The sequence below is a fragment of the Homo sapiens genome, chromosome 2, assembly GCF_000001405.40.
Source record: "Homo sapiens chromosome 2, GRCh38.p14 Primary Assembly".
NCBI lineage: Eukaryota > Metazoa > Chordata > Mammalia > Primates > Hominidae > Homo > Homo sapiens.
This window is the reverse complement of record NC_000002.12, coordinates 149,062,027-149,083,461: the sequence shown is the minus strand read 5'-3', so window position 1 is coordinate 149,083,461 and position 21,435 is coordinate 149,062,027. Positions and strand designations below refer to the sequence as shown.

Here is a 21,435-nt window from a genome sequence, read left to right as displayed (position 1 = left end):
CAATGCATGAATCTTGATTTTATCCCAGTGTTGGAAAAAAGCTATAAGATGTTTTCAAATAAGCAGGGAAATTCGAAAATGTGCTAGATATTATTAGATAAGTGTGAAACAGAATCATTGTAAACTTTCTTAGGTACAATATTGCATTATGGTAATGTAGGGAGAATGTCCTCAGGCGATGCATCTCAAGTATTTAGGGGTGAAATGCTATGATGTCTGAAACTTAGAGAGCGAGACAGAAGAGCAGACACAGCAAAATGCTAACTGTATGCTGCTGCAGCACACGGCCATGGTATGCATGAAGCGCTTTCCTTTTTTAGAAACTGCTCTGCAGGTATGCCCCCCTGTGACATTTTATTCCCATTCAAGGGTACTTTATTCAGCCTCTCCAGACTTTAGCCTGGAGACGTGGATTTTTGCGTTGGCTTCATTATCTGACAGCAGGAGCATCTGCTCTCCATGCTGGCATCAGGTTTCCTGTCCAGAGGCACACCCAGGTGCAGCCAGGGAGTCAGTGAGAAAGCTGTTCCACACCCTGAATTCCTTATTTCCTACAGGCAATGGGGTAGAAAGGGAGGCCTGAATTATGGCTGTACCCAGTCAGGTTCCGCTGACAAGCTTTTCCAGCTGCCTTACTACATCGTGATTATTAACCACACAATGGAAGTCCACCCAGCCTGGGCCCTCCACTGCCACAAGAGGAGCCCCAAATGATTTCAAATAATAACAGTGCCAACCACAGTTCTTCAGTACTCATTACATGCCAGACACCATTCTAAGTGCCTCACATTTACCGTAATTCATGGATTTCCAGATGGGGTTAATCTTTACCATAGTATCACTAAGTAATACTATCAAGTACTGAATGGAAAACACTGTCGGCAAAGGCAAAAAAAATTGCAATAAAATTTACATTCAGAATGCTAAGTCATCTTTGCTAGAAAAAGCAGGAATTGGTACTGGGGGTGGGAAGAACTTCTCTATTTCTCTCCTAAAAACCATTAATGCAAGCCCCTTTCAAATTCTTGCATGTCTAGGCATCTATAATCATTTATCATGAGAAAGAATATATCACAGTCAAAATCACAGCTTGCTTCCTGACGTAGGTTTTGTCTATCATGGCAGTGAAAGCAGGAGAGGTGAAGATCTATGACCTAATCCAGCTGTTCCTCCCAGGGCCTCCCTAATCGGCCATTTTGCCAGTGCTCATATCTCTCTTTTCACATTAATGTCAGAAAGTTCAAAAGACTTAACCAGATGTTTCCCTGCTCAGAGTTACAGCAGACAGATATTAAGGGGGAGAAAATAAGCTTCAAATATCCCATGGGGAGAGAATAAAGTGGGGTGGGGAAACCTGCAAACATCGAGGAAGTTAGGCATTTGAATCTGTGAGAGCAGCAACATGAACATGTGTAAAAAAGAAGTGTGGGAAACCATGTGGAAAGTGACTCCAGTACTTCACTACACAATACCTACATAGAAGACAGGATTTTGCATTACTCAAACAGGAAGTCTTCACTGGAATACCATACAACCATTGGGATAAATGAACTCTCACTATAGGCAACAACATGGGTGAAGCCTCATATAATGTTGACCTAAAGAAGTCAGACACTAAAAAGTACATACTCTAGGGCTATATGATATTTATTTAATTTTTTAGCTAAAAAAAATTAAATGTGTTTTAAAATGTGTACATAAAATCCAAATCAAACAAAAAAACTTGATGCTGATAGACTTCAGAATAGTGAGGAGGGTGTAGGGATCAGGAAGGGCATGACAGAGAGGCTTGCTGGTCAGGTTCTGTTTCTTGATCCAGATACGTTCTGTGTGAGAACTCATTAAACTGTATGCCTCTATCTATACACAGAAAGCTGTTCCACACACTGAGTTCCTTGTTTCCTACAGGCAATGGGGTTGTAAGGGAGGCCTGAATTTTGGCTGTACCCAAGCAGGCTCAGCCAACGAGCTTTACATTAAATATCAGTAATATCTAGATTAAATTTCCAGATCTATACTTCAATAAAAGTTTAATTCAAAATATGAAAACAATTTAATATCCCTACACCAAGAGAACTCTGACTTCTGTTTCTGAAACAACCTCAGAAATGGTGGTATTACCTAAAATCATCAACTTAAAGAAAGTGAAGAGCTCAAGGCAATTGGGAACCAACATCTAGTCTGTATGTAAAGTGAAATTAGACACAGCCCCTGCCACAGCCTTACAAATAACCCTGCAGGCATTAGCAACAATTACTAGGGGAAGTAATTACAAAGGCCTTTGATCTTCTATTATGTCTTCTATCTGAGATCTCAAGAAGTCAGTAAACAAACAAGGCCCAGCAGTCCTCTGACAGAGCCAACTGTCTGCATCTGTTTACAGCACCAGGCCCAGATCCAGTCACCTTTCCACAGTAGCAACTAAATTCAGGAAAGGACCTAGAGGTTACAAACGTCCTATGCAAGGACATCATGACTTAAACTGACTTCATATAAGTTAACTCCCATCTACTCTTTATAAACAGGATCCCAGTCAGACAACAAATCTGTGTCCTAGGTTGGCATTGCCTAATATACTGAATTTTTTTGTGTGGTTTTTTTTTTTTTTTTTTTTTTTTTTGAGATAGAGTCTTGCTCTGTTACCCAGGCTGGAGTGCAGTGGCACGATCTTGGCTCACTGCAACCTCCACCTCCCAGGTTCAAGCCATTCTCCTGTCTCAGTCTCCCTAGTAGCTGGTACTACAGGTGCACGCCACCACACCTGGCTGATTTTTGTACTTTTAGTAGAGTCGGGGTTTCACCATGTTGTCCAGGCTGGTCTCAAACTCCTGACCTCAGGTGATCCGCCCACCTTGGCCTCCCAAAGTGCTGGGATTACAGGCGTGAGCCACCACCCCCAGCTAATATACTGGATTCTTAAAAGTGAGAAAGAATAGAGAACTTGAGAGAAATAGAACAGCCTGCTACATCAGACCTCCCAATTCTATGTGACCTTCTTGCCTACTGTTATAGATTAAATTGTGCTCCCCCCACAAAATGTACATGTTATAGTTGTAACCCTCAGTACCTCATCAGAATTTGGAAACAGGTCCATTGCAGATGTAATTAGTTAAATGAGGTCATACTGGAGTAGGATGGGCACTGATCCAACACGACTGGTGGCCTCACAGAAGGGTAAATTCAGACACAGACACACACACAGGGAGAACACCACAAGTTATAAAGTTATGCGGCCACAAGCATAGGAAGTACCAGAAGCCAGGAGAGAGGCCTGGAACAGTTCCTTCCTTAGTGCCTTCAAGCGAGCCCAGCCTTGCCATCACCTTGATTTCAGTCTAGCATCCAGAACAGTGAGATGATAAATTTCTGTTGCTTAAGCCACCAGTTTGTTACTCTGTTATGGCAACTCTTAACAAAAATATACTTACATAGTCCCCTTTGGCAATGTTGGTAAACAAAGCGGTGCTATCCTTATCTCAGAAATCGGGAAAGAAGTGCAGATAAATAAAGCAGATTGCCTTAGATCACAAAGCCACCCAGTTTAGAATTCAGGAATGAGATAAATTTTGTTACAAAAGGTTGCGAGAATGAAAGAAATGACAAAATCCCCTTTTCCGGAGGTCTGCTAACCCCTCTGGGTGGGTTGGTTTAAGATGCTCCTGTCTAAAGGGAACTCTGGGGGCTAAAGCACATCCCGGAAGATGCCTTCTAACCCTAGAAATCTAAGCCAACACCAGCACACCTTCCCCCATAGACTTGTAATTCCCACTGCGAGAATGAATTATTCTTCAAACGCCTGAATCTGCTAAAAAGAATGTAGTTACTGAAAATGAGGCAAGAAAAAAAAGAGAATACGAATAGAAATGGCATTTTAATAAGTAATGAGACTTCAAGGGTGGCTGGTAGTTCGGAATCACTTCTGAACTTTAATATAGAATTAATCTACACTGTCTTCCAAAAACAGCAGTCCAGCAAAAACCTTGCACGACAGTGTCCATTTCAAATGCAGCCACAGAAAATAAAAAGGAACCTCTAAAAGTGATCAATGTTAGATTTTATGTTAGGATTTTATGAATTGATCTCTGGTTATTATGGATCAGGTATGGCAGAAGTCCAAATTACATTAAACATAGTAACATCTAGATTCGATTTAGTATTAGCCAGAACAGTACAGCTAGAGTTACATTTTATGAAACAGAAATGCTCTCATTTGAGAGACATTAACTAAGTACCTGCCATAAGCTGGATACCAGTCCAAAGTTAGACCCTTGGAGAACAAAACAGACACCAGCCCCGCCCTCACAGAGCTTAGAGTTGAGCTCACAAACTAGACTTCAGAGGTAATTCACACCATGGTAATATTTGCTGGTCTTTTTTTTTTTTTTAATTTGAATAGAAATGGCATTTTACTAAGTAAGTAATGGCATTTTAAATAAGCATTTAAAAAAAAAAAAAAGACAGGATCTCACTCTGTTGCCCCAGGCTGGAGTGCAGTGGCATGATCATAGCTCACTGCATCCTCAAACCCCTGGGCTCAAGTGATCCTCTGCCTCAGCCTCCCGAGTAGATGGGACTACAGACACAAGCTACCACACCCTGCTAATTTTTATAAATGTTTTAGAGATGGGGGTCTTGCTATGTTGCTCAGGCTGCTCTCGAACTCCAGGGCTTGAGCAATCCTCCCATCTCAGCTTCTGAAGCTGCTGGGACTACAGGCATGAGCCACCATGCTGGCTGTATAGGTTGGTCTTTTAAGGTAGAAATTAGGTGCCTCATAAGCACAGTAGGGAGAAAGTCAGTCTCATAAAAGTGAAAATTCAGTGACAATAATCTTAGAAATTTCTATTTGTTCTTTCAAATTTTAAAACGAGACAGACCTCCATAGCTATCTTTGAAATGAGTTCCTCTTAGGTACACTGTATTGGAAGAGTGTTTCCCCTTGTGTTATGTGGCAACCATGGAAGGAGACAAAGTTATAGCTTGAGAAAACCAAGGTCACTGATTTAACCCCCAAAGGACCAGGTAACTTCAGAGACTGTATTCATTATACTGGCTGGCAACCCCAGGTTTTAAGCCACTGGTTTACAGGAAGAGATTATGCTCTCCAAAATACTCAGATGTTATATGTACAGAACATTTCATGAATGGGAAGGGAAGCAAAAGCAAACACAAATAAAGACCCCATTATAGCAGGAAATGTTCAGGCCTCTGTGCAGAGGTCATGGTGCCTTCTCAAGGGAGGCAAGGGTGCAAGGTGATGGCGGCGTTTCTTCTGCTGCTACAAATGGGATTCCCTCAGTCATTCAGGAACCCTCCCCTGGGCTGACAATGTGGCACTGTGACCCCTGGCCTGACAGTGTGGCACTGTGACCTGACATCCTCAGCCTACCAGGTGAATTAACAGTGTTGACTGTCACATTCCTCAAGTGAATCCTAAGATTCTGAGCAATTCAGACACAGACACGTTAACAAAGTCTGCCCTCCAGGAAACAGCAGCAGTTGCTTCATGGAGGAAAACTCAGCTTCAGCCCAAAGCTACACCATCAGGACTTGATGCCATTCCAACTCACTTTCTTTCTGAATGACATCAGATCACTTTCAGCCAAATGACAAATTGGAAGAATAGATGCCAGTGTGATTAACTTCAGTTTTTACATTAGTAAATTTGCAATTTGTCCATTAAAAAGATGCCCAGCACTTCAGAGAATCAGAGCTGGCTCACTGTGCTAATGGTGTTGAGTTTTCACTGTGGCAAAAGTGAGCTTAAAATTGGGGCAATTATAACTGTATGTGTTTATGTGGATGTGCCCAGCTCACTAATTTTAAAGAACAAGATACTATACATGAAAAAGTAAGGATGGAAACCTTCAAAGCCACTCTCTTCAAATCACTTTAAAAGCAGGCTGAAAACAAACACTCTGAAGTCCTGCTCCAGCAGAGTCCTGTGGAAATTACAAAAAGAAATTAAACCATAGTTATAGTTATCACTTATTACATGCCACATTGTCTTTAAGAAAAACAAAAATCAAAATGTATAAAAATAAGGTTTTCAAATGCAAAGGGATCATATTTGCAGAGTTAATCAATCATGTCCAGGCAGTTATTTAAGGTATGCCAGAAAACAAAGCACTCACTTCCCCAGGCTGCAGGAAAGCGAGTAAGTTTCACTGCTCTCCAGAGCTTTCTACAAAGACCTGACTGGGGGCTGCCTGTGCTCTGGGCATGTCCCCAGTCTGATCTTTTGCCTTATCTTTGCAAAGTTGCAAGCAACTTCCTGGGAATTAAAAATTAGCTGCCAGGGCGTTCTGTGGCATTTTACAGGCCACTGGTCACCAAGTCGTCCATGGCCATGCATTCTAACAGACAGCAGTTCGGCTATGGCCAGAGGCACAGTTTGTCATCACTGCAAATTACAAATACCAGGAGTGCATGTGGGGCTGCGGGGCTACAAACCCTGCACCTACTGGGTTAGGAATGTTTTCACTTCTCCCTACTAAGAGTTTCCTCCTCCTCCCCACAGAACCAACTCTAACCCCAGCACATCTTAACCTTGGCACTACACAGCCAAGGAATTTACAAAAATGCCTGAACAGCTGAGGTTTAAAACATTCATAACAACCTCCACTGAATGAAGGCAACCAAGTTTTCCATCCACTTTCAACTCTTGGTCTTTTTTAGTGATGATTTTTTCCCTCTACCTTTTAAGGTAATATATCCACATTATAGCCCATATATTAGATCCAGAACAGTTTTTTTAAAATTTCATCACATATACACAACCAGCATTAACATTCTCTTCTTGTCTTTTTTTCACAGAATTTTACTGTGCCTCATACCTAACTGAAAACATACCCTAAATATTATTTTACTGATAAAATGGACATAGTACTACCATTTCCTTATCCATTCCCTTCTTGTTAGACAAATAACTCACTTTCAGTTTTTCTTTATTATGAATTACAGAACATCTTATGACAAATCTTTTTCTGTGTGTCAACCATTCCCTTGGAAATAGATTTCTAGAGTTAGGCTGAAAACTAACACTTCCAAGAGCTGTTCTCTCAGAGTCCTGGGTAAATTATTTTAAACTATAGTTATCACTTCTTATTATATGCTGCATTCTCTTTAAGAAGAAAATCAAAATGTATAAAAATAAGGTTTCCAAATACAAAGGGATCATATTTGCAAAGTTAATCTAGTCTGTCCAGGCTGCTATATAAGGCATGCCAGGAGAGAAAGCCCTCACCTCCCCAGGCTGCAGGAAAGCTAGTAAGTTACTCTAGTGCTACTCTGGTAGCTATTAAGTTACTCCAGTGTTAAATCCTGACGTTTCACTTTCCGATATTCAAAACCCATTCTCCCGCGCCTCTGGATTACTCCAGTGTTAAATCCTGACAGTTCACGTTCCTAAACTCAAAACCCATTCTCCCGCTCCTCTGGATCCTCCCTCTCTCCTAGATTGGCCTCAAACTCCGTCAGCCTCCTGCCTCATCAGCCGTAGCACTGGCCATAGTTTCTGAGGCTTTTTGTCTTTGCTTTTGTCTCGGCATGTTTTTACTCATCCACCAACACTGCCGAACACAAGCAGAAAAGTATTCTGCTAACATTGTTTTTAAAATTATATGGATTACATATCTGTTTATCTTACCTACTTTTCAGAATATATGACATTTAGTGATCAGAAGCATTTATTAGGCATCTACCACAGAAAAACAAAACTAGGATTGTCATATGACCAACTTTATACTTTTCTTTTTGTTAAGATTTTCCACAAACCTGGAGTCAAACCCAGGTCATAGTCAAACTATGCACATTAGTTATAGGTTCTTCTAACTTCTGCCCTCTATTCCTTCACTTACAAAAAATAAATGAGTTTTCTTTTTTCTTTTCTCCAAGAGAAGTTTGACAACTTTTAAAGAGTTTAAAAGCATGATTTGTTGGTTGCTGTTTGTCTCAGTATCTTATGAACTATTTAACTTCATCACATGAACAGATTTAATGCAAACATACACATTAAGTCTAAATTGGCCAGAAATGTGTTCAGTAAAATATACACACTGCAAAACACCACGTCAAACCACAGCCATAAACATATAGACCCATCTAAATAGAAACAGTCAATCTACACTTGATTGTCTGTGTCTACATTTTTCTATTACTATAATATTTGTTTACTACTTATCCAATCAGCGCTGGCACTGCCCCATAAGGAAGCAACAGTGAGTGCCAAAGATTTGAGAACAGTTTATAAAATGGGAGGGAAATAGAGGAGAAGGAAGATTTCTGAATTTAAAAATCAAAAGCATAAAGTTAATGGAGCATCTAGGAATTATATACTCACTGGATTTATAATAAAAGTTTCTAAAATACAGCTCCATATGACTGATTGGCTCACCATGTTTTATGAAATACGAAGTCCTTAAAAAGAGAAAAGGCATTTTGTTTTCTTTAAGATTATTAACACTGACTGAGCACACTATATTGTATATTAACAAAATATATATGACACTGCTAATATGGGTTGCCTTGCAGAAAAAAACTAGCTGCCTGGAGGAGGAAAAATGGGGTGGGGGATTCTCACTGTACATTCTTTTGTTGCCTTTAAATGTTGAAGCATATGAGTCAATTACCGATTCAGAAAAAAAATTGTATTTTAAACTTTTAAAGCATTTCATAGGATATTCTGGAAGCTCAATAAATGTTAACTCAAATTAATCCTTTTCCCAGGAAAGTAAGTGGTAGGCCCAGAGAAACCACTTAGTTCACATTTTTCTTCAAAGAGGGAACCTCCCTTCATTTAGCTACCTTCTAGAATCACAGCAATATTATAGTTTTATTATAATAACATTTTTTCACCCCAATTACTCTTCTCTGAGGCTGGAAGGGCCCATCAGCACACCTTGATTCACAGTTGATTGCCAAAAGCCTTTGTGCGTGCCCTTAGAAGTCAGGTTCGTGTTGCTGGAAGCAGGGAGAAAACCTCAGAGAACTTCCTATCACCTATCATCCTATCACTAACTCAACCTCTGCTCTGTAGGTTGGAGAATCAGGCTGATATGTGCTATAATTATTCCTATTAATGGCATTAAAGTTGATGTTTTAGATCTATCTAGAAGTAACTGCAACTAAAATCAAAAACAAAAGGAGAGAATAAGTGAGAGAGCACATGTGCGTGTGTGTGTGTGTGTGTGTGCATGCATGCGTGTATGCATGTGTGTGCACGTGTGCCATCACAAAAGTGGCCCTGTGGTCGACCCTTTGAGTAAACATTCACTTGAGCCTCTGACCTGAACCCACATTGACCCACCCCAGCTGGACATTCACAGGGCTCCACAGCAGACACCTTCTTTACGTAACTTGGCCATGTCTTGGCTATAAGATCCTCTGAAAGCACTCGTTGCATTTGCAACTTCTGGATTAATATTGATCCTTAGATGCTTGTATGGGCTCTGATTTTCTATTGAGTCTCCATAAGCCAATGGAGCACGGTCTGTTGAGGCTTCCTTCCCCAGACCCATCACTTCTGTCCTCCTTCTCCTTTCGTACAGCCGTCACCCTGGTCTGGGTCTCCACGCCCTCACCCGAGGTTGCTGTCCTCTCCCTCTCTCATTGAGCTTCTGCTTGTAACTCAGAGGATCAGCAACATGGGCTAAAGGGAAAGGATCAGAGACAGGCAAATCCAGGCTGGAGAGAATCTGAGTGCATCACCCTGCCTGCAGAGTTTTGGCGATGGTCCAGCAGGTACCTATAGAAGTGCAGGCACCCATGCCCACTTGGGTCCCCAAGTCTGTCATCCAAGGAGACACAGCAGTGGTAGGAGGATAAGCAAAAGCACCGAGTGGAAGAAAAGGGGGCCTCAGCAGCACAACGGATCTTCCTAATGCTCTACTCAGCACAGAGCCCCAAACAGCTGCAGGACACAGACCAGAACCAACATTGCTTCCCAGCATCACGGCAGTGGGCTTGGACAGGAAGACAGCAAGAACAAGGCAGATCCCAGGACCCAGCTGGCATATCAGTAACAGCAGGAAATCAAAGAAGAAACTCAGAAACACGGACCAAGAAAACACCATGAGGGTGGAAACAAGGGTGTCATTCAGGGCACATGCCTTCTCTCACTCAGGGCTTCAGCTGGTTTTCTACCTGCCAGCTAATGGGTGTGAAGCTGTCAGGGTGCCTCTGCCCACATCAGCAATGGGTCAGAGACCAAGAGATATACTGGGCTGGGCCTGCTAGTGAAAAGCAAGAGAAGCTACAACTGCACAGGGTTGCAGAAAGCAGTGACAGCTGCCAGCCTGCCATTCTACTCAAAAAACTCTAAACAGCTCTGCCTACCTCACCATTATCATCATCATTAAACCCAGCAGTGACTGGGCATGCATTACCCATGAAGACATCACCTCTTACCATTCCCCCTGCTCACTATTCTCCAGCCATTCTGGCCTCCTTGGTGTTCCTTTAATAAATGAGGTTAAGTTCCCATCCCAGGGCCTTTGCACTTGCTGTTCCCTCTGCCTAGAAATCTCTCCCCATAAGTACCTTCAAAGCATTTTCTCTCTCCTCCTTCCATCTTCACTCAAATGTCTCAGGCTTTCCTGACCACCCTATTTAAAATTGCAAATCCAGGCCAGGCATGGTGCCTCAAACCTGTAATCCTAGCCCTTTGGGAGACCAAGCTGGGCAGATCACTTGAGGTCAGGAGTTCGAGACCAGCCTGGCCAACATGGTGAAACCCCATCTCTACTAAAAACACAAAAATTAGCCAGGCATGGTGGCACTCACCTGTAATCCCAGCTACCGGGGAGGCTGAGGCACAAGAATCGCTTAAACCTTGGAGGCAGAGGCTGCAGTGAGCTGAAATCATGCCACTGCACTCCAGCCTGGGCAACAGAGTGAAACTGTGTCTCAAAAAAATAAAATAAAATGAAATAAAATAAAATAAAATAAAATAAAATAAAATAAAATAAAATAAAATAAAAATAACCACCCTAGCATTCTCCCTTTCCTGTGTTATCCTTCATAGCATTTATTACATTGACATCCTGTATGTTTACTTACGTGTTTGTTTATTATCCTCTTCACCAGAGGCACATGTGCTGAAAGTCAAGAAACTAAACTAAAATAAAATAACCACCCTAGCATTCTCCCATTCCTGTGTTATCCTTCATAGCATTTATTACATTGACATCCTGTATGTTTACTTATGTGTTTGTTTATTATCCTCTTCACCAGAGGCACATGTGCTGAAAGTCAAGAAATGGTAAAACATAGGGAGACTGAGGAGGGCAGATCACTTGAGATCAGGAGTTCAAGACCAGCCCGGCCAACATGGCAAAACTCTGTCTCTACCAAAAATACAAAAATTAGCCAGGTGTAGTGGTGTGTGCCTGTAATCCCAACTACTCAGGAGGCTGAGGCAGGAGACTCATGTGAACCTGGGAGGCAGAGGTTGTAGTGAAATGAGATTGCGCCACTGTAGTCCAGCTTGGGTGACAAAGCAAGACTCTGTCTCAAAAAAAAAGGGGGGTAAAACAACTTTCAAGAGAGAAAAGGAATGTTACCAGCAAAACAACCAATGCCATTATGCCCTTTTTCTTCTTCCCATTGCAAGCCATTTGCCTCCCAATCTTTAAAATCTGGACTGAGAGACCTTGTCCTTGAAGTTTTCCTTCGTGGCTCTTTGATTCCCTGGTCTTCTCTTTCTCCAAATGACATTGTTTATTCTGTACAAAACTTCACACTAACCAAAAGCGCCTGCCTCGTTGGACTACTAGGGGATTTAAATGAGTTAATTCATGCTTAGAAAAGTACTAGGACAGTGCTCAGTCCTTGTTAAGTGTCTAGGAAATCACAGCCATTGTTATTATTTAGTGTATGCATCTTCTATTATATCTACTGATTCGAGTCCTATTTCTATAGCTAGAGTATAAGCAAACTGAAGGCAAAGATCTTATCCTAGATTTTGAGATTTCCCAGAGTACTTAATCCAGGTTTTTAATAATTATTTGACAACCGATTGATACAAAGTATTTCAACTTTCAAAGATTTGTTTGAAAGCCCTTGGAACCTCTATTTAAACAGTGATTCCCATCCTTTACCTCTCCCAGGACTGACCTGGTATGCAAATACAGCAAATCCCTGAAAACGGCATTTGTAACAGGAGCTTTGCTATAGCATGAACAGCAAAGCCAAAATACTATACAAAAGATCAAACAAATATTGACTAAAAGAATTTTCCCCAAGGCAACTGTTATAGTCTTATCTTGAATAGAATGTTTGCACAGTTAATTAAGTATTGCTATGGACTCAGCAAAATCCCAGGCAGACCCTGCCAAGCCGCGTTTTACATTCCCACTGCTTTATCGCTATTTACAAAGCCACGCAGGAGTCCCTCTCCTCCTAGCCCCTCACCTATCAGTCCTACTAATGCCGGGTGTGGAACTAAATGATAAGTAAATCATACACCTTTTATCGGTAGACAAAAGATAATGGAATCTCAGTGCCAAGGATTCCATTTACCTATCCCACGGCGAATATGCTCTGTCATTTCCCTTCCAGAAATCAATCAGGCTGCATCTGTTACTACCTGTTGACTTCTTGGAAATGTATGAAATAGTAGAATCATGTAGAGAGAGAGGTGTTTACTGGTTTCACAGAACATGCCTCTATACACCAGATACTAATGAGAGTTTACTTCCTATGATTACCAACCAAGAAGCCTGCCAGAACACCTCAAAATTGACCTCAAAAATCACAGGCTGTTCTATACAGTGAATAAGCTGATTGCTAGCTTACAATGGGTTGTCTAATTATGGAGAAGGTCAGTTATGATGACTAGAAGCCAACAAGAGTCATTCACAACCTTTCTTCCTTCCCTCCTTCCATTCAGCCATTATTTATTGAGCACTTATGATGATCCAGGCACTCTTCCAGGCACTGGGAATACCATCGAAAATACAATTACCATAGTCTTAGGAAGGTTATATGAGGGGGGAAGGAGATCAATAAAATAAAGAGGTTAAAATTTTATAGTGTGTTAGATATTAATAAGCGCTAAAGAGAAGAAAAATTAAGAAGCAGAATATGAAATCCCAAAGCCCCAGCAGAAGGAATAAACTTGTAGATGGGTAACCAAAAACATCCTCAGGGAGAAGCCACTATTTGAAGAAAGTGAGAAAGCCAGCCTTCTAGGTTAGCGGGGAAGAGTCTTGCAGGGGGAGAAAATTGAAATGCCAACGTCCTGTGGCAGAGCATGGCTGGCGTGTTAGGGAACATTAAGGAGGCCAGTGTGGTGAAGCCTGGTGCTCACTGGGAGACATGGAAGGAATACGCCCCAAGAGAAGCAGGGAGCAAGAACCTATAGTGCCTTGCTTCCAAAACATATGCATTTTTATTCATCACAGAAAAGCCACCTGTTTACCAAATTTTCATTTACTCACAACTCTCCAGCCATTATTTTTCTAAGAATTTATGTATTTCAAGAAAATGATTCACATACACACACACGTACACACACACACACCACCCATCTCTGCAATTAAAAAAAAAAAAAAAGTTGTACAGCTAGCCAACATATTTGTCTGGGGAAAGCTCTTAAGCTTCTATTAATAAAAAGAAAACTGTTCATGGCTTTGAGTGTAAGCTTCTGCAGGACTGGAACCAGGCCTCACACTGAGTAGTGGACACTGCTCAGCACTATGGACAACTGGGCACTCGGTGATGCTGTGGAAAGATGTCATGCTGGCTAAAAATAATAACATGCAGAGTTATAGGAGACAGGAATGTTGAAATTTACCACAGGGACTTTTTTTTAATGTGGCAATGCTTCAAAGTCTTTGGCAAATTTAAATGCCAAGCTGGCTCATGCAGTATCCAGACCACACATCCTTCCTGCCCAACCAGCTTCTCAACATAAATAAGATGCTATCAGCCAAAATCTGTGACACAGCAGGGTTTGGGGTGGTACCTTAAGATCTGCTATCTTCCAATTCTATTCAATCCTAACCAACCCAGTTTCATTTATCACAGAAACAGTTTTCCATTACGAAACATTCATAAACAATTCCACCGCAGTCACTCTGCTGTTCTTAGGTATACACAGTCTATGTCGCCAAGGCAAAAAGCACAACTACAAGGCATGTCCTGTGTAACAAAAACTAGTTATTATGTTACATGGATATTTTGTGTAATGATAAGAAAAACTAAAAATGTAAAAAAAAGTTATGATTATTAATGACTAGTCATAATTCTGCCTCCATCAAGTTCTCCCAAGGCCACCCCCACCAGCCCACCCACAAAATGGACAAATTCCTGTGGCTGAGTCACTTTTCTGGCTCTCCTTGATTGCAAGTTATACCAAAACTGAAAAAAAAAAAAAAGTCTACATAATAAAGAACTTCGGGGTGGGGGTTGGGGGAAAGCAGTTGAAACTTCAGAAAGGTATGGACAGGGAAGTAAAAATGAGTTTTAAGAAGTGATCTGGAACAGTGTGGAACAAGAGACGGACGAGATAATTTTTAGAAATGTTTCTTAGAAGACCCCATCAGCCAAAATGGTGAAGCAAATTGAGCAGAAGTTTGCTTTTCAGGAAGCCTTGGAGGCTGCAGGCGATAAACCTGGAGTAGTTGACTTCTCAGGCACATGATGTGGGCCTTGCAAAATGATCGAGCCTTTGTTTCATTCCCTCTCTGAAAAGTATTCTAACATGATATCCCTTGAAGTAGATGTGGATGACTGTCAGGATGTTGCTTCAGAGTGTGAAGTCAAATGCATGCCAACCTAGTTTTTTAAGAAGGGACAAAAGGTAGGTGAATTTTCTGGAGCTATAATAATAAGGAAAATCTTGAAGCCACCACTAATGAATTAGTCTAATCATGTTTTCTGAAAACATAACCAACCATTGGCTATTTAAAATTTGTAATTTTTTATTTATAAAAAGTATAAAGTATGGAGACTATATACCCAACTGCCATCTGCGTGACAATAAAATATTAACTCAAAAAGAAAGTGTTACTAATGTTCTCTGAAAGATGCAAATGAAGCTTGAAAATTCAGAAATACTTGTTTGCTACTTTAGTTTCTGAACTGTGTTCCTCTCAATGGTAAGTTGTATCAATTACTCTTGGAACAACTAGACTTGGAGAAAGAGTCTAACTCGTGGACATAAGAAATGCACCAAGTTTTTCATTTAACATAATACATTCTGCATTATTGAGGGCAATGATGTATTCCAAAACAAAGCATGGTAAAGTGGCTACAGGAAAAATCATGGCCAGACTTCTCCTGCCCTACCTCAAACACAGAAGCCAGTTATTCTACAAAGGTTAAAAATTACATGCTGATTTCTTCTCAAACTGCCTAAAAAAGCAGAGATTTGGGCAAAGACTTTTCCAGTCTCAATAAAGAAGCCCGAAAAACAAAAACCTCCATCTTCACAGTGGTGAGGTGTTCCCCACTCACCTTAGAAAAACAGGACTTTCTGTTGAGATCATTCCCTCCCTCTCCCCTCCTATCAGGCCAGTTTGAGAGGAGGGTGGTCACGCATTCTTCCAAAGCAAAAGCTTTTCTACCCTCTAGAAAGTTTTGGTCAAAGAAGATTCACATATAATACAGAATACATGCTACCAGTGAGTAGTAAATTAAATTTTTCTGTTGCACTAAGAAGATAATAAATTCTCCATTTGGACTGTAAAATAACTATTTGAGACATTAATGATTATACCAGGAATCTTCCTAAATTATATAAAATTTAAATAAAAATTAGAGAAAAAATTTTCTTTTAAGACAAAGATTATCTAAGAGCATTCCCTTAAACCAAAGGAAAAAAGCAAAGACTATATAGTATCACTTTATAGCCCTATGAGGATAATATATAATGCCTACAATCAGAAAAAAAAAACAAAGTTTTAAAAAATTATACACAGAAAAGATAGGAAAAAATATACATACTTTTCAAATCTTATCAATAAATATACTAGAGGGGTAAATTGCTTTTTACTTTTCACTTTTCTGTGTTTTCTGAAGCTCTCATAGCATGTATTAATTTATAATGGAAAATTAATTTATAATGGAAAACAACTTTTTAAAAGATGTTTAAATTATTAAAACATTCAAAGATTAAAATATTTATTAAGGATCATAATGAATAAATATAAAATATGATCAGGAAAAAGCATTCACAACTGATCATGCCACCTTTCCCAGATAAACCATTTACATATTATGTAGCAGCGCTTCTCAAACTGAAGCAGGCATAAGAACCACCTGCAGAGTGTGTTGAAATACAGGTGATAGGAATAGTAGGCAGCCATAAAAAATAAGGAAATCATGTCCTCTGCAGGAACATGGATGTGGCTAGAAGCCATTGTCCTAAGCAAATTAACATGGAACAGGAAACCAAATACCACATATTCTCTCTTAGAAGTGAGACCTAAACATTGGGTACTCATGGAAGTAAAGATAGCTACAATAGACACAGGACTACTAAAGGGGAGTGGAAGGAAGGGGTGCAAAGGTTGAAAAGCTAACTATTGGGTACTATCCTCACTATCTGGGTGACAAGATCAATTGTACCCCAAACCTCAGCATCATACAGTATACCCATGTAACAAACTTGCACATATACCCCCTAAATCTAAAATAAAAGAAACCAAGGAATAATAAATAGAGGATGAGAGCAAATGAGAAAAGAGAGGAAGTAGTGCAGAGAAGAGAAGAGAAGGGAGAATGTTGGAGGGTGAAGAAGGAATCAAAGGTAGCATGGAGTATGTTATGCCATATACACAACAGTTGCTCAAAAATATTTATTAAATTTGAAGTTAATAAATGTTTTTGAGCAACTGTTATGTATATGGCATAACATTGGAACCAACCTAAATGTCCAACAATGATAGACTGGATTAAGAAAATGTGGCACATATACACCATGGAATACCATGCAGCCATAAAAAATGATGAGTTCATGTCCTTTGTAGGGACATGGATGAAGCTGGAAACCATCATTCTCAGCAAACTATCCCAAGGACAAAAAACCAAACACTGCATGTTCTCACTCATAGGTTGGAATTGAACAGTGACAACACATGGACACAGGAAGGGGAACATCACACACCGGGGCCTGTTGTGGGGTGGGGGGACGGGGGAGGGATAGCATTAGGAGATATATCTAATGTAAATGACAAGTTAATGGATGCAGCACACCAACATGGCACATGTATACATATGTAACAAACCTGTACGTTGTGCACATGTACCCTAAAACTTAAAGTAGAATTAAAAAAATAATAAATTTGAAAAAAAAAAGGAAACAAATAATGGTTAATAGAACATAGTGTCTCTAGACACAAGACACAAATGGGTAGCCAAAACTGGTACTGCCCAATCTGTGCCATGGGCCACTGAACTACAGCCCATGAACTAGCAGCCTATTTTTGTAAATAAAATTTTATTAGGGCCGAGTGCGGTAGCTCAGACTCGTAATCCCGACACTTTGGGAAGCCAAGGTGGGCAGATCTCTTGAGTTCAGGAGTTACAAACCAGCCTGAGTAACAAGGCGAAAACTAGTCTCTATGAAAAATACAAAAAAAAAGGGCCAGACACAGTGGCATGCCCCTGTAGTCCCAGCTACTTGGGAGGCTGAGGCAAGAGGACTGCTTGAGCCTGGGAGGTGGAGATTGCAGTGAGCAGAGATAGTGCTACTGCACTTCAACCTGGGCATCAGAGCAAGACCTTGCCTCAAAAATAAATAAATAAATAAGTTGTATTGGAACACACAACACAAAAGACCCCCACAGGTGATAGAACCTGATAATCTGCATTTTAACAAGCTCTCAAGTAGTACTGATGCTGCCAATCAACCAGGCTCACTTTGAGTAACCAGGTTTGATGCAGCAGGAAGTAACTGGAGTCTAGCTCGGGTTCTCTCCCAGGAAGCATGCCACGCTTACTCTAGATTGGGCAGAAGAGAAAGTGAACTGAAGATTCCACCTTCTTTCAGAGTTCTAAAGCAGGAGCACAGATTCATTTCTCTCTGATCAACCCTTGGTGATTAAATGCTTAGTCATGTCCTTACTAGGGGGCCAATGAAATTAAGATAATCATGATTCCAGGACTAACGAGCTTGTTACAGCATCTGATGGGACCAGCCTTTGGATCAACTTGGCAGACTGCCTCTGCCCTCCCTAGAATTCTCCATACACTTAGCAAGTCTTTTGACAGTAGTTTTCAAACACACATTGTTTCCTACAATGATTTTGTTGGATGTCTAAGAATAGGAGGTAGTCCATGAATTCAGTATCTATCACTCGTAAGGAGACAAAAGAAGGCAGACATACACTTCATGAGCTGCCCAAGAGGGAGGGAGGGTGAACTTCAAAACAGTTCAGGCAGTCCCTGCCCTTTTACTCCCAACCATGCACTCCTCAGACACATCGCAGTCCTCTGGGAATCAATGCCAAAAATCATACTCAGAAACTCCATAAAACCTCAGTAATAGACTGCAGTGCCTAAGAAATTACTGAGGCCCCACTCAAACTCCTGTACCAGGCCAGCCAACCAAAGCACCAGAAGGTGACCATCATGTTTCCTTACACCCTAAGGAAGAAGGTACCTGGCTGAGAGGCCTCCACGTTCCAGGCAGTGACAGCCCCTGAGAGGAACTAACTTAATTAACCATTCAGATGAGCACAGAGAATTCCCACCAGCCTCCAGGTCCCCAAACGCCACATCTGCCATTTATTCCCAGTGCTGTCATTTCCTGCCTGCAGTGAGCTAATTACATGCAGTGGGAATTCTGGAGCTGCCGGTTCTAATGTTTATCTACTGTTAACTTGTTGTGTGACCTCAAAGATATGTCTCTAGTGCCTTTATTTCCTCTGCTATAAAAGCAAGATAAGGGAATGACATGCTTGACAAAGTGTCCTAATATAATACTATAGTCATTGCTATCCTCAAGATGCTCACAGGAATTGTAATTAACATGTCTCTTTTACTGAGGCCTTTAAAGATAACTGGTGACATGTTGTCAAAAGTATGGGATCTCAAATGATATTTTCTCTTTTGTTAAAACAGGTTTTAGTGGCAAATGCTACCTATAAAACTGTTGATAAAAGCGGTATTGAATGTGCTTCTTTGTAAATCATTGATTCATTCAAGGGAGTGTCCATAACCATAACTCTAATCATGACTTCATAAGTAGAAAAGATACTAGAAAATTCACCCTAAGTTAGTTTTCCATAACCTTAATATCCAGCATTGGAAACATAAGCAAAATAGGGCTGTACTTCTAAAACTATGTTTTAGAAGACTAGTTAGTGTCAAAGTCTGTGCTGCTATATCAGAAAAGCTGGTTACAAAACATTTTGTATAAAAAACAATCAGTATAATCAGATTTTGTAAGTCTATATGGGCATGGAAAAATATTCAATAAATGGTAGCTATTAAATTCCGCATCTATCTGCTATGGCCCTTGCCCTTTTCTTCTGCATTTGAGTTAGCAATATATTCCAGTTATAACATATTGTTAATCATTTATGTGTCACAAATTTACTGTGAATTGTCCCAGTCTTTTATATAGAAGTTTTAAATTAAAATATTCAAACTTGTTTGTTTTTTTCCTTGCTAGTTGCTTCTTTTGCTTTAAAGCCACAGAAATTGTTGTTCCTGTGCAAACCTAATACATATTATGTTTCCGGCTACTTTTTCTATAATTTGATTTGCAATATTCAACCCTTTGGAATTTATTTCTGGGATATGGCATGTTTAGTGGGTTCTAAATTGATACTTTATTATGTTCAACCCCTGTGTTAAATAATCCTTTCTCACTACTTTATTTTGAAAACTTTAGCTACATGTAGTTGGCAAATTATCCTAATTCACTTTTAAAATATAAGACATAAACAACTCAAAGTAAAAACCCAAATATACATGGCAGCTTTTTAAGAAATCTCAGTCAGACATTATCAACAAATCAAATCATCATCAAGCCATTTCCACCTCAGTGGAGCATCAATCAGCTAAGAATTCCTGTTAAAATCAGTCCTTCCTATTTAGGGGAAGACTTTGACGATGTAATTGTAGGGTATATAAGTATATGGTAGCTGAGTCATCAACTACTGCTTGAATTCAATAGTGTTATGGGGCGGGGCTACTTCTTGGGTGGCAATGTTATTCTGTCCCTGAAACAACTGAAAATAACACCCCTTGGCCCGAAAAAAATAAAAGTAAAGAAGTAAAACTCATTGTTTAATTTGGTCAAGATTTGGCACCATCGTTTTCACTCTACTGATTTTTCCTCCAGATATATTACAAACCTGACATACACGAAATGTACCATATAAATTTGCACTTGTTAGGTTTCTAATGTCTGCATCTTGCCATTCCCATTAAGATATAAGTTCCTGAAATGCAAAGGCTGTGCTTAATAGGGAAGGAAGGAAGAGAGAGAGAGAGGGAGAAAGGGAAGGAGGGACTTGGTGAACCTTGCAGCTCCTTCTTTACCGAGCCTTGCTTACAGGGGACACTCAGGAAAATCTGCCATTAGACAACTATTTCAGGACTTCAGCCACAAATGATACTTAACCAAAAAAAAAAAAAAAAAAAAAAGAACATGTATCACTGAAAGCTTTCATCTGAATTCATCTCCCCTACTGACTAATACAGACAGATTTTTGCCATCAATTCACACCCTGAAGCACAGGACATGATGATCTTTCTTTTCATTTGCATAGCAACGATTTGTCATTATCTGGCCCTATTTTTTACTCAACAAAATAACATTGCACCTTTAAGATTTCTGCATGTCTATTCTTGTCGTGGTTATTTTGAATTATGCCTTTTAGAAGCAACTACTTTAAGAAAAAAAAAATCATCACTTCTCAGGTATACATTTGGCTTGATTTTATAACGTAAGCTTTTCTGGGTTCATTTTCCTGTTGCTTTTCCATGTAGGGAAGGAATGCCTGAGAGAGGTTCCTCTGGAGCAACAGAGTTGATGAAGTCCTCAACTTTGTAATCTCTGCTTTTAATCCCCTTCTCTGATAAATGGGCTAGAGAAAGCACTGCCATCATCGTGATCATCATCAATGCTACAATTTACTGAGCATCTTCTAGATGCCAATCACACTGCTACATATTTTACATGTTATTTTCAGTGCTGTTTTTGTTATCCAAAAGATTCTGCCGGGCGCGGTGGCTCACGCCTGTAATCCCAGCACTTTGGGAGGCCGAGGCAGGTGGATCACCTGAGGTTGGGAGTTCGATACCAGCCTGACCAACATGGAGAAACCCCGTCTCTACTAAAAATACAAAATTAGCCTGGCGTAGTGGCACATGCCTGTAATCCCAGCTACTCGGGAGGCTGAGGCAGGAGAATTGCTTGAACCCGGGAAGGCGGAGTTTGTGGTGAGCTGAGATGGCGCAGAGCTGGGATTGCGCCAT

General features: G+C 40.3%; 1 protein-coding gene and 1 pseudogene across 17 annotated transcripts in view, besides 1 other annotated feature; one reads left to right on the top strand and one right to left on the bottom strand.

The window, feature by feature from the left end:
• The window catches only part of LYPD6B (LY6/PLAUR domain containing 6B), a 176,564-nt gene that overhangs the window by 131,801 nt on the left and 23,328 nt on the right, over window positions 1–21,435 (bottom strand). For 7 of the 17 annotated variants that reach the window (XM_047443404.1, XM_047443411.1, XM_011510623.3 and 4 more), the window contains exon 2: window positions 5,866–5,942. The exons of 7 other annotated variants lie outside the window; for them this stretch is intronic. The gene's annotated coding sequence lies outside the window, so the exon portion shown is untranslated. Of the gene's footprint in view, window positions 1–5,843; window positions 5,943–21,435 lie in introns of those variants that run through there. 3 more of the 17 variants (XM_047443412.1, XM_017003366.2, NM_001317004.1) reach the window with 2 other exon arrangements.
• Window positions 2,005–2,597: an enhancer, noted in NCBI's record as "OCT4-NANOG hESC enhancer chr2:149937379-149937971 (GRCh37/hg19 assembly coordinates)". NCBI's record gives its function as "activates a minimal SCP1, AML or CMV promoter by ChIP-STARR-seq in naive H9 embryonic stem cells {active_cell/tissue: H9 hESC(naive)}" and the evidence as "EXISTENCE:reporter gene assay evidence [ECO:0000049][PMID:30033119]".
• TXNP5 (thioredoxin pseudogene 5) lies at window positions 14,535–15,027 on the top strand (annotated as a pseudogene).